This window comes from Homo sapiens, chromosome 5 (assembly GCF_000001405.40).
Source record: "Homo sapiens chromosome 5, GRCh38.p14 Primary Assembly".
NCBI classification, from domain to species: domain Eukaryota; kingdom Metazoa; phylum Chordata; class Mammalia; order Primates; family Hominidae; genus Homo; species Homo sapiens.
In genome coordinates this window covers 34,893,249-34,904,882 of record NC_000005.10, presented here as the reverse complement: position 1 = coordinate 34,904,882, position 11,634 = coordinate 34,893,249, and the positions used below count along the sequence as shown (strand labels likewise).

General features: G+C 40.1%; 1 protein-coding gene across 16 annotated transcripts in view; it reads right to left on the bottom strand.

The window, feature by feature from the left end:
- TTC23L (tetratricopeptide repeat domain 23 like) overlaps positions 1 to 11,634 on the bottom strand; it is an 86,519-nt gene that overhangs the window by 20,800 nt on the left and 54,085 nt on the right. For 9 of the 16 annotated variants that reach the window (XM_017009120.3, NM_144725.4, XM_011513984.4 and 6 more), the window contains 2 exons: positions 8,008 to 8,113; positions 4,372 to 5,493 (listed from right to left, as the gene is read on the bottom strand). The exons of 3 other annotated variants lie outside the window; for them this stretch is intronic. In XM_017009120.3, the coding sequence (XP_016864609.1) occupies positions 8,032 to 8,113 (82 nt within the window). In that variant the 3' untranslated portion in view covers positions 4,372 to 5,493; positions 8,008 to 8,031. Of the gene's footprint in view, positions 1 to 1,750; positions 8,114 to 11,634 lie in introns of those variants that run through there. 4 more of the 16 variants (NR_169874.1, NM_001386172.1, XM_047416824.1 and 1 more) reach the window with 3 other exon arrangements.

Genomic DNA, 11,634 nt, shown 5'->3' with positions numbered 1-11,634 from the left:
TATTTCCTCATACTAAAGTAAAAAGGAAGTAACAATCTAGTAAACCCTGTGGCCTGTACCCTTAGGCATGGTGCCTGACACTTGATTCCAAAATGGTCTTGCTTCCTGCCATTTTGTCCAAGGATTTTGGTTGCCGTGGCTGACTACGTTAGGACAGTACTATTTCTGGAATATTGTCAAGCCTGCCTTAAGTGGACCTTTAATGCAGTGGTGGGTGAACTTACCAAATCAGCAGGTAGTACGTCATTGAACATACAGAACAGGTTACATAAACTTTTTTTTTTTTTTTTGAGATGGAGTCCCACTCTGTTGCCAGGCTGGAGTGCAGTGGTGCGATCTCAGTTCACTGCAACCTCCACCTCCCAGGTTCAAGCGGTTCTCCTGCCTCAGCCTCCCGAGTAGTTGGGACTACAGGTGCATGCCACCACATCGAGCTAATAATTGTATTTTTAGTAGAGATGGGGTTTCACCATGTTGGCCAGGATGGTCTCGATCTTTTGACCTTGTGATCCTCCTGCCTCAGCCTCCCAAAGTGCTGGGATTACAGGTGTGAGCCACCACACCCAGCCGTTTACATAAACTTTTTTGTTTGCTTGCTAAAAAATGTTTATTGAGCTAGGTGTGGTGGCTCTCACCTGTAGTCCCAGCACTTTGGGAGGCCGAGGCAGGAGGACCATTTTAGCCCAGGAGTTTTGAGACTAGTCTGGCCAACATAGCAAGACTCCATCTCTAAAAAAAATTTTTTTTTTTTAATTAGCCAGGTGTGGAGTATGCATGTAGTCCCAGCTACTCCAGAGGCTAAGGCGGGAGGATTGCTTGAGCCCAGGAGTTCAAGGCTGCAGTGAGCTATGGTCATGCCACTGCACTCCAGTCTGGCAGGAGAGTGGGACCCTGTCTCAACAAAAAATAAAATAAAAATAACAATATTTATTGAAATCTGTATGTGAGACAGCTTGATCTGGGCTTGAATTATTTTTTTTTCTAACTTGGTACAGAGATTGTTGGAAAATAGCTAATCCTCATCCACCTCAAAAATGTCAGTGCTTGTTAGCTAATTCAGAAGAATTGTAAGAGCTCTGTATGTTAGCTCAGATCTGTTAGAAATGTCAGGTGTTTGATTGGATTGGGTTATCCAGATTGGTTGAATTTAGAAAGTAGCTTCTGTGGTTTTGCAGTGAGAATGCAACTTTATATTTCTAATGTGGCTTGTTAAGACTTTGGGATTTCACCAAAATAGTAAAATTTTAAAACTTTTGGGCAGAGCACAGAGGATTTTTAGGGCAGTGAAACTAATATGTATGATACTATAATGGTGGATATATGTCATTATAATTTTTCCAAACCCACAGAATGTATACCACCAAGAGTGAACCCTCATGTAAACTATGGACTTGGGTAATAATGCTGTGTCAGTGTGGGTTCATCAGTTGTCACAAATGTACCGCTCTGGTGGGAGATGTTGATAAGGGAGAAGCTAGGCATGTGTGCAGGTAGGGGGTAAATGGGAAATCTCTAGCTTTCCCTTAATTTTTTTTATGAACCTAAAACTGCTCTAAAAATGCCTTTGGGAAAAACTTTGGGGACCAACATAGGTGCCAACTTATTTTACTAGGTATAAGGATGTTAAAATTATATGATTCAGTATCACCACCATTTTATAAAACATTTTAATATCAAAACCTCAGACAATGGCAACCTTACACTGACAATAAAGAAAAACTTTAAACATTAAAAACAATCCAAATGCAGGAACAGGTACACCATAAAATTTTATTTCACAGTGTTATGCTACTGTTTATTGATATAGGTTTGTCAGTTTGGAGATCTTAGGATTGCAAAATAGTAACATTTTATAAATTTTGGTGCCACCCAAAATGGAGTCTGAATGGCCATTTCTTTCTGGTATTTTTTTTTTTTTAATGTCAGTCATTGTTGAAGAGCTATTTTCAACTACGTATGTGAAAATGGAAGCAACTCTTCTGATGCTACTGTAATCAATTCAGAATATTCTGGGGAAGAACAGCAGCCCCATCTCCAGAAAGGGCTAAAATGAACAATGATAGGCCAAGTGACCAGTTAATAAGCACCACAGAGAAGGGCAATGGAATATATAGCTGCTTTCAGCCAGGTCTGCAATGTGGGACCTTGATCCTGAGTGCCAACCCTAAAGCATCCTGGGAGTTAGTCGGCAACTGCCAGGAGAAGGCCTACCAGTCAGTGGACAAGGCTTTGGCTTAGTTAGTATATGTGTGCTTCTGCCACAGCAGAACACAACTCACTATACCTTGGGTACTGGTTGATTCTTAGATTTTACAGGCTGAACAAATGACTGAAATAATTTCCTGAATGAAGAACCAAAATGTGGTTCTGTAAGCACTGAGTGCGTTGATATAGATGTTGATAGTGATACACTTGGATCCCCAAAGACACAGGGTCTTTGAGCTGTATTATTATTAATTTATTTTTTAGAGGGAGTTTTGCTCTTGTCACCCAGTCTGGACTGCAATGGCACAATCTTGGCTCACTGCAACCTCCACCTCCCAGGTTCAAGTGATTCTCCTGTCTCAGCCTCCCAAGCACCTGGGATTACAGGCACCCACCACCATGCCCAGCTAATTTTTGTATTTTTGGTAGAGAGCCGTGTTGGCCAGGCTGGTCTTGGAACTCGTGACCTCAGGTGATCCCCCTGCCTCAGCCTCCCAAAGTGCTGGGATTACAGGCTTAAGCCACCGCGCCCGGCCATTTGAGCTGTATTAAATCAAGTTAGACAACTGGGAAAAGATGAAGAGAGAAAAATTAAAGTTATTTATAGTGCAAACCCAAATGAGATTTCTCTGTCGCTAAATTCACAAGAAAGTAAGGAATATTATTCAAGATTGCAAATTCTTTCGCTAGATATACACTTGCTCAGAGTCTAAGGATTTTCTTCATAAACAACCACAGTGAGTATTCTGTTCCTAAAACAAGCCTTTTTAATCCAGTTTGGTGGAGGCAGCAGAGTGGGATGGAAAGAGTAATCATCTGTGATCCAGGAAGTCTGCTTTATAATTACCAAGCTGACCTTGAACAAATCACTCTCTTGTCCCTAGTTTCTTTTGTTGTTGTTTTGTTTTTGTTTTTGAGATGGAGTTTTGCTCTTGTTGCCCAAGCTGGAGTGCAATTGCATGATCTCAGCTCACCGCAACCTCCACCTCCCAGGTTCAAGCAATTCTCCTGCCCCAGCCTCCCGAGTAGCTGGGATTACAGGCATGCGCCACCACACCCAGCTAATTCTGTATTTTTAGTAGAGACAGGGTTTCTCCATGTTGGTCAGGCTGGTCTCAAACTCCTGACCTCAGATGATCCGCCTGCCTCGGCCTCCCAAAGTGCTGGGATTACAGGCTTGAGCCACCATGCCCGGCCGTCCCCAGTTTCTTTATAAAATAAAATGGTCCTTTCTGACTTTGAACATGTTATGACGAGTTCAGTAAATCAGATCAGGGTAAGTGTTTCAGAAGGTTCAAACTATTCCTCCCAAGGCAGTTTTGGTGACCTCAAACAGGCTATGACTAAAAACACCTCCAAATACAGTTGACCCTTGAACAACATGGGTTTGAACTGTGTAAATCCACTTATACACAGATTTTTTTCAATAAATACATTGGAAGTTTTTTTTTTTGGAGTTTTTTGACAATTTGAAAAAACACAAACTGCGTTGCCTAGAAATATTTTTAAACATTTTAAAAGGTATGAATGCATAAAATATATGTATATACTAGTCTATTTTATCATTTGCTACTACAAAATATGCACAAATCTATTATAAAAAGCTAAATTTTCTCAAAATTTACACACATATACAGTACATGGTGCCATTCACAGTCCAGAGAAATGTAAACAAATGTAAAGATGCAAGGTTAAATCATAGCCACATAAAACCAACTGGAGTACGTACTGTACTGCAATCATTTTGTAGCTGCCTCCTACTGCTGCGGCAGTGCGCGCAGATGTTGTGAATATCCACTCAAAACGCTATGTGATGCTAATCATCTCTGCATGAGCAGTTCAACTCTCCAGTAAATTTCATGTGGCAGAAAAAAGTACTCTCTCGAGATTCTTAAGTATTTTTCATCATGTTTAGTGCACCATAAACCTCATATAATACCATGGGACCCATATGAAGTGCCACTAGTGATGCTGGAAGTGTTCTCAAGAAGTAGAAGTCATGACATTACAAGAAAAAGCTGAATTGCTTGATATGTATCAAAGATTGAGGTCTGTGGCTGTGGATGCCCCTCATTTCAGTCCCAGGATTCTTTCTGTAAACAGACAATGTAAACTTAACGGAATCAATAAATACAGTAATGTAAATGTATTTCCTTATTTTCTTTCTTTTTTTTTTTTGAACAGGGTCTCACTTTCTCATCCAGGCTGGAGTGCAGTGGCACAATCTCAGCTCACTGCAGCCTCGACCTCCTGGGCTCAAGCAGTCTGCCTTCCTCTGCCTCCCAGAGTGCTAGGATTACAGGCAATGAGCCACCACACTTGGCCCCTTATCATTTTCTTAATAACCTTTGCCTTTCTCTAGTTTACTTATTGTAAGAATATATTATATACTATACATATAACATACAAAATATGTGTTAATCAACTGTTAAGCTTATCAGTAAGGCTCCCAGTTAACAGTAGGCTATTAGCAGTTAAGTTTTGGGGGAATCCAAAGTTATACAAAGATTTTTGACTGCACAAGGCATTGGCAGCCCTAGCCCCTGCATTGTTCAGTGGTCAACTGTAGTACATGAAAGTGTTCACCAATAAACTCCTTAGGTATCGCAGAATTTTTTAAAAAGTCAGAACTGAAAGGAATAGAGTTAGAAAAAGGGAAATGGAAGGTAATGGAGTTCCAGTGACACAAAAAACTAACTTAAAGCATGTGACTAAAAGATTTCTTTCCCCCAAGTCATAGATCAGGATCCTAGTTGGGTTTGTTTGTTTGTTTTTTGTTTGTTTTTTTTGAGACGCAGTCTCTATCTGTCGCCAGGCTGGAGTGCAGTGGCATGATCCCAGTTCACTGCAACCTCCGACCCCGGTTCAAGTGATTCTTCTGCCTCAGCCTCCCGAGTAGCTAGGTTTACAGGCATGTGTCACCACGCCCAGCTAATTTTTTTTGTATTTTTAGTAGAGATGGGGTTTCACCGTGTTGACCAGGATGGTCTCAATCTCCTGACTTCATGATTGGCCTGCCTCGGCCTCCCAAAGTGCTGGGATTATAGGCATGAGCCACCGCGCCCAGCCAGGATCCTAGTTTCTAATGGCTCTTGGGTATTTCACCTGGAATGCTGCTGCTAAGTGGACCTTTTTTTCCCAGAGTCCTTAATAAAAAACCGTTGTTTTAGATCTGCCACTGCTATCAGTGTTGAGAAACATTTTGTGGTCGAGAATTTTTATCATCAACAAGGTTGTCTTTATTGTTGGCTATCCTGTATAGAGGTTTTCAATTTGATAACAGAAGACCTAGAGGAAAGGAGAAAACCATTTGAGCATTTTTCTTGGTTCTTGCCTTCTCTTCCTCCATAACTGGCCCTGCCTCCCCCAGCAGCAGATCTCATTGCCTTACCTGAGCCAAAGGCTGAACTTAGCCTGAGGCGACTGTGTCACCATTATTCCACCACATGACTATACTCTCAAAATGCTGGCTCTTCTAATAGGCCTCTAAAATCTTACTAGAGTCTCGGGTTTTCTTCCTAAACAGCAGGGAGCTCTTCCCTTGATTCAGATGGCAAACCAGGGATATTTGAGCCACCTGGATTGTTTAAATCCCAGGTGGAAAACTTATCTAATTTAGGGCCTTTTATATAGTTGATGATTTTCAAGTGGTTTCTTCTCACGAGCTCGGAGACTTACAGCCCGAGGCCCTGTGAAAGATCTCTCTTGCTTGTTTCTAGCCGTTGAGATGTCTGTCCTCTGATTTCCCATTACTGAAGGAGCTGAGCAGGAATTTGATGTATTATGATCCAAAAGACTGCTCCAGAAACACAGTTACTATTAAGTGTTCTTTAGTCACCTCCTATTTCTACCTCAAGCCTGAAAAAAGTGGTTTTCATAGCCCTTTTTTTACTTGAAAAGAATATTTGTTCTGTAGAATATGAAATACAAAATTTTATGAACTTGGGGTTTCTATGCAAGTTGCACTAAAGACAGGCTCATTCTCTATTACTGGACTGTATAAAATATAGAAAGCTATCTGGCACTTTAACTTCCTTTGCAGTAAACCAGGAGATAATGAGATTCCAAATTAGCTGAAGAAATAGGCACAGATTAAGTTAGTTGCCCAGGGGTCTCATAAATTCAGAGGTGGGCAAAGAACTGTAAGAGGGCTGCATCTCTGCTAGGGATAGTAAGTGGGAATCAGCCTCGGGCCTACTTCTGTCGCACCACAAGGTGGCAGGATTCCCCTTGTCTGAAACCTGAAAGGACAACTGATTTCCATAGTGTATATATTATCTTTGAGTTTAGGTGACTGTGTCAGACTGCTTGTCTATGAGACTAACAGTGTTTCCAGAACCTGATAAGTCTATATCTTTTTCGAGATGTTAACCAGCAAAATATTTTCCACATCAGCTTGGTAGTAGCTTTTCAAAATATTCAGCCCCTATCTCCGTTTGCTTCGTGCAACAGTGGTGCCAGTAGAAGGTAATAAAGTCAAAGACCAGCTTTCAGTAAAACTAAAAATAGCTGTTACTTAGTACATGATTACTATGGGGCCAGGCACTCTGCTAAGCACTTTACATATAATGCATTATCTCATTTATTCTCACAACAACACTGAGATAGGTACTATACTTCATCCCCATTTTATAGATGAAGAAACCAGGATTGCCCATAGCTAGAAAGTGGTAGTCCTGGGGTTTGAACTCAGGCTTGCCTGTCTCCAGAACTACAGCTCTTAACCACCATGAATCAAAAAGATTAATTCATAGGGATGCACTGAAGTCATATTTCTATGATCAGATTAAATAGTTGATGAGATAATCATAGTTCATAAAGACTTTATGTCCTAAAGTGGGGCCAAAATTCCTTACCAAACTGCAAAAGTATTCATGTATACCCTCAGGGCAAGTATACACTACACCCTTTGCTTTCAACAAAACCAAACCTTAGTTTCTCTACTTTGATTCTAAAGACAGGGCAAGGTTTTATTTGCCAAAATTTAAATCACTGATCATTTCAAAAAGACTTTAGGTATGTAAAATACAATGGTTTCTAAAAAACTGATTTGCAGCCAGGTATGGTGTGTTCATGCCTGTAATCCCAGGACTTTGAGAGGCTGAGGCGGGAGGATCACTTGAGCCAAGGAGTTGGAGGCCAGCCTGGGCAACATAGTGAGACCTCGTCACTACAAATTTAAAATATAAAAATAAAAATGTTAAAAACCTGATTTGTTCCCAACATGCCAATAAGGAAGGTTTTGTATATATATGTATTTTTTTTAATGTTTAATTTTTTTTTTATTTTTCTTTAGGAGACAGTCTTGCTCTGTTGCCCAGGCTGTAGTGCAGTGGCACAATCTCGGCTCACTGCAACCTCCACCTCCCAGGTCAAGCAATTCTCCTGCCTCAGCCTCCCGAGTAACTGGGACTACAGGCGCATGCTACCACGCCCGGCTAATTTTTTGTATTTTAGTAGAGACTGGGTTTCACTGTGTTTCCCAGGCTGGTCTCGAACTCCTGAGCTCAGACAATCCACCTGCCTCAGCCTCTGAAAGTGCTAGGATTACAGCATGAGCTACAGCACCCAGCCGAAGGTTTTGTATATTAAAAGTCCTGAGAAGCCCTTCAGAAAAGTAACCTGTGTCACTTTGTTTAAACCTGTTTTTTTTGTTTTTTTTTTTCCTTAAATGATTTTTGTCTTTCTGCTACAGAGCCTTTCTTCCTCCCCCAGAGAACTGGCACACATCCCTTGGAATCAGCATTTCTTGCAGCCCCTTTCAGGACATGCTGCCCTGTACAACAGCTGTAAAGTACTTACCATTCCTCCATACACTGCCCTCTGTCATGCTTCTGTGCCTTTGTATGTAGAGTTCCTTCTTCCAGGAATGGCTTCTCTTCTCCATCTGGATGAACTGCTACTTGTCCTTTAAGAAATGGCTCAAATGTCACCCTCTCTATGAAGTGTTTTCCAATTCTCATAGATTGTCTCTCCTTTCATTGCACTGAGAATGCTATTCCAGAACTTAAATTTCATGTTATTATTTCTTCATGTTTTCTCTTACACTAGAATGTTGTCCCCTTAAGATTAATGACCATGTTTTATTTATCTTTATTACCACCTGCAGCTCTAACTGCACCTGGCACTTAGTAGGTGCTCAAAAAATGTTTGTTAAAGGAATGAATGAAGATGAAGAAACTGAGACTCAATGTTTAAGTGACTTAAGGTCGCATGGTTTTTGGGATTCACACACAAGGTGCCTTGACTCAGAGTACAGTGCTCTTTCTCTATACCTGAACAGCAAGTATGTGGTAGAAGTCCAGCTGTTCCCCCACCCGTACCCCAGGGCAGACAACACTAATAATCAAGCTCCACCAAACCCAGCCTTTTGCTCTGGAACCTCAAGCTCTGCCTGCCCTATTCCATGCTATCCTCTCCTATCAGACCATTTCTGTGGGCGTGGCAGAGTAGCTGGGGATTGCAGAGCTCCCCACTGCTCTGCTAAAGATAAGGTACACTGAGCTGGCTCACTGTGGCTTAGCAGCCCTTGTTCCCCATAAAAGAGACCCTCAAGCAGGGAACTAAAGGCTTCTGAGTTTTCACTTCTCTACCTGCCCCAATGCCTCCAGCTAGTCCTAGAATCCTGATTTGGAAAAGCTGCTGCCCCTTGTTTGGCTACCTGGCTCTGGTGGAGCAGATTGTGCTCCTCACTCACTCATACCAAGGTTTGGCCAGATATTTCCTCCTTAATTTTGTAGATGGAGTGTTGGAATGTTTACTAATAAATAATAGGAAAAGAAGATGAATGCAGCAGCCTGGAAACAACCCAGCTTATGGAACATACATTTCATCACTAAGGTCTTGCCCAAGACTGGTCTGGCTGATACAAAATGTACTGCAGCATATCACCTCCTTTCTTTTTCCTTGCTCACTTCTCTCTGGAAATAATCACCTCCCAAATCCCCATCTCCACCCTACTTTCCTTCTCCAGCCCCTCAGCCCAAAAGAGGCTGTTCCATTTTGTTCATATGACCAAGAGGACTGAATATCACTAATAGTTTAATAGGCATTGAGGCACCTTCCTTACTCCCCTCTTATGAGGAGAAAAGGATGGTTCTCCCTGCTCCTTCTGTTGGTTTCTACAGCTTTATACCCATCAAAAGGTATATCAAAATAACTTTTCGGTATGCAGCTGTTCCAGAGACATCTGACAGATAGAAAGATAAAGTTGATAACTTCATGCTTTCATACATCCAGTAAGTTTGATGACTAGGTAGAGTTGTTAAAATGGCTGATATTTATTGAGCACTTAACAGTATACCAGATACTGTGCTAAGTGCTTTATGTAAATAATCTCATTTACTCTTCATTATGTTTCTACATTATAGATACTATTCTAATCCTCATTAGAGAAAAGTGGGGCTTAAGATAACTTGCCTAATGGCACATAGAAAGTGGTAGAGCCTGGATTCAAACACAGATATGTCTAACTTTAAATGTAGTCTATGACCTTAACTACTACATTCTTCTAACAATCAGAACTGTCCAGTAATGGAAGGAAGGGGCCATTTTGAGAGATAATGAGTAAATTCCTGATTATGGGAGGTATTTAATCAGGTACTGGACAAACAGTAATCTCAAAGGTCTTCTCTACAAATACAGCTCATGCTAATATCAGTGATGTCAGTGATTATTTTCTATTTGCCAATATAATGGCTTCTGATTAGTCATCCTTCCCTTTCCATCTGCAATCATTGTCATCTTCATCATCACCATTAACATCATCATCATCATCATCATCATCATCATCATTAACACTCTCATCATCTCTAATTAGCACATACTATGTGCCAGGCACCTTTCTTTGCAGTTTTACTTACATTAACTTATTTATTCATAACAACCCTATGAAGTAGATATTATATTATTATCATCCCCATTTTATGGATGAGGAAACTGAGAAGTAAAGCGATTTGTCCAAGATCTCACAGCTAAAGACAGAGCTGGGATTATAACCCAGGCCATCTGGCACTAGTCCATTCCTTACCACTACATGGCACTCTCTTAATATTTGACACATATACCATACTCTTAAAATGTATCTTTTTTATCATCACAATATTTATTGTAAAAAGTAAAATGACACAGAAATACATAACATAGAATTTGAAAGTCCTCCATAATCCTGTCCTAGAGATAATTACTGTCCTTTGCACTAACTACATATTTACATATACTTATGAGTTATGCTATATATATTGCTCACTAATGTGTACTTTTCATATTTTTAGCCCTAACAGTATATATGGGAATATTCTTCCATGACACTTAAAGCTCTACATCATGCCTTTGAATGACCATATTATATGGCAATAAAAATGTACTAGTATTTCTACTGGTAGACATTTTTTTCCCATTGTTTGCTATTATAAACAAATCTAAAAGATATATTTATGTATGTATAGGTGTATATTTGTATATATACTTATATTTATAAATACATATTTTGTGTAAGGATTTCAAAAGACAAATTCTTAGAAGTGGTCTTTCAGAGTCAAAGGTTACAGGCATTTAAACATTCTATTAACTTTTCCCAACATATCCACCAAAAAGGTGCAATCAAGATACAGTCCCATATAAATAGAGTATTGAGAAGGCTGAGCTCCCCATACTTTTGACAGAGCTGGGTTTTCTTGCCTGTATTTTTCATTACCACAAAAACGATAGGTTAAAAATGGCATTTTATGTTTTGAATCCTGCCTGAGATTGGAAATCTGTGTGTGTGTGTTTATTGGTCATATGCATTTCTTCCTCTTTGAAGTGTCTCCTCGTGTCTTTCGTAACAATGACACTGGCCTCTCTTTCATTGAAACTTTGTCCTCTGATTTCCTATTTTTTCCTGACTCTCCTAATTCTCAAGGACTTTTTCAGAGACTCCTTTTCAGTTCCTCTTTCTGCGTGATCCCTAAATAATACAATAATGATAATTACAATAATTAACATTTCACAGAAGCTTACTATGTGCCATACACTAAGTAAAGCACTTAAAATGAAGTGCTCTATTTCTGTGCATTTTCACAGATGAAGAAAGTAAGCCTTAGGAAGTCTCACTATAAGTGGGAAAGCTCAAATTTGAGCCCCAGCTGTTCTGCTACCAAATCACCATATTATATTCTCTCTGAAATAAGTGTAAGCATGCTCCAAAGTTCTTTCCTAAGCCTTCTTGTTTCACATGTATGTATTCCATGGGTTATTTTATCCATTCCATTAGCTTCAGAATCATTTCTTTGAGCTCCTGGCCCATACAGCCAACAACTTAACAGCCATTGCCAGGTGAATGTATTGTGGGTATTGCAAACATATCCAAAGTGGAAACCATCTTCCCTCAGGCGCCCTAGAAATCCTCCAAGATTATTCCTCTTGCCAATACTATTTAATAGCATTGCC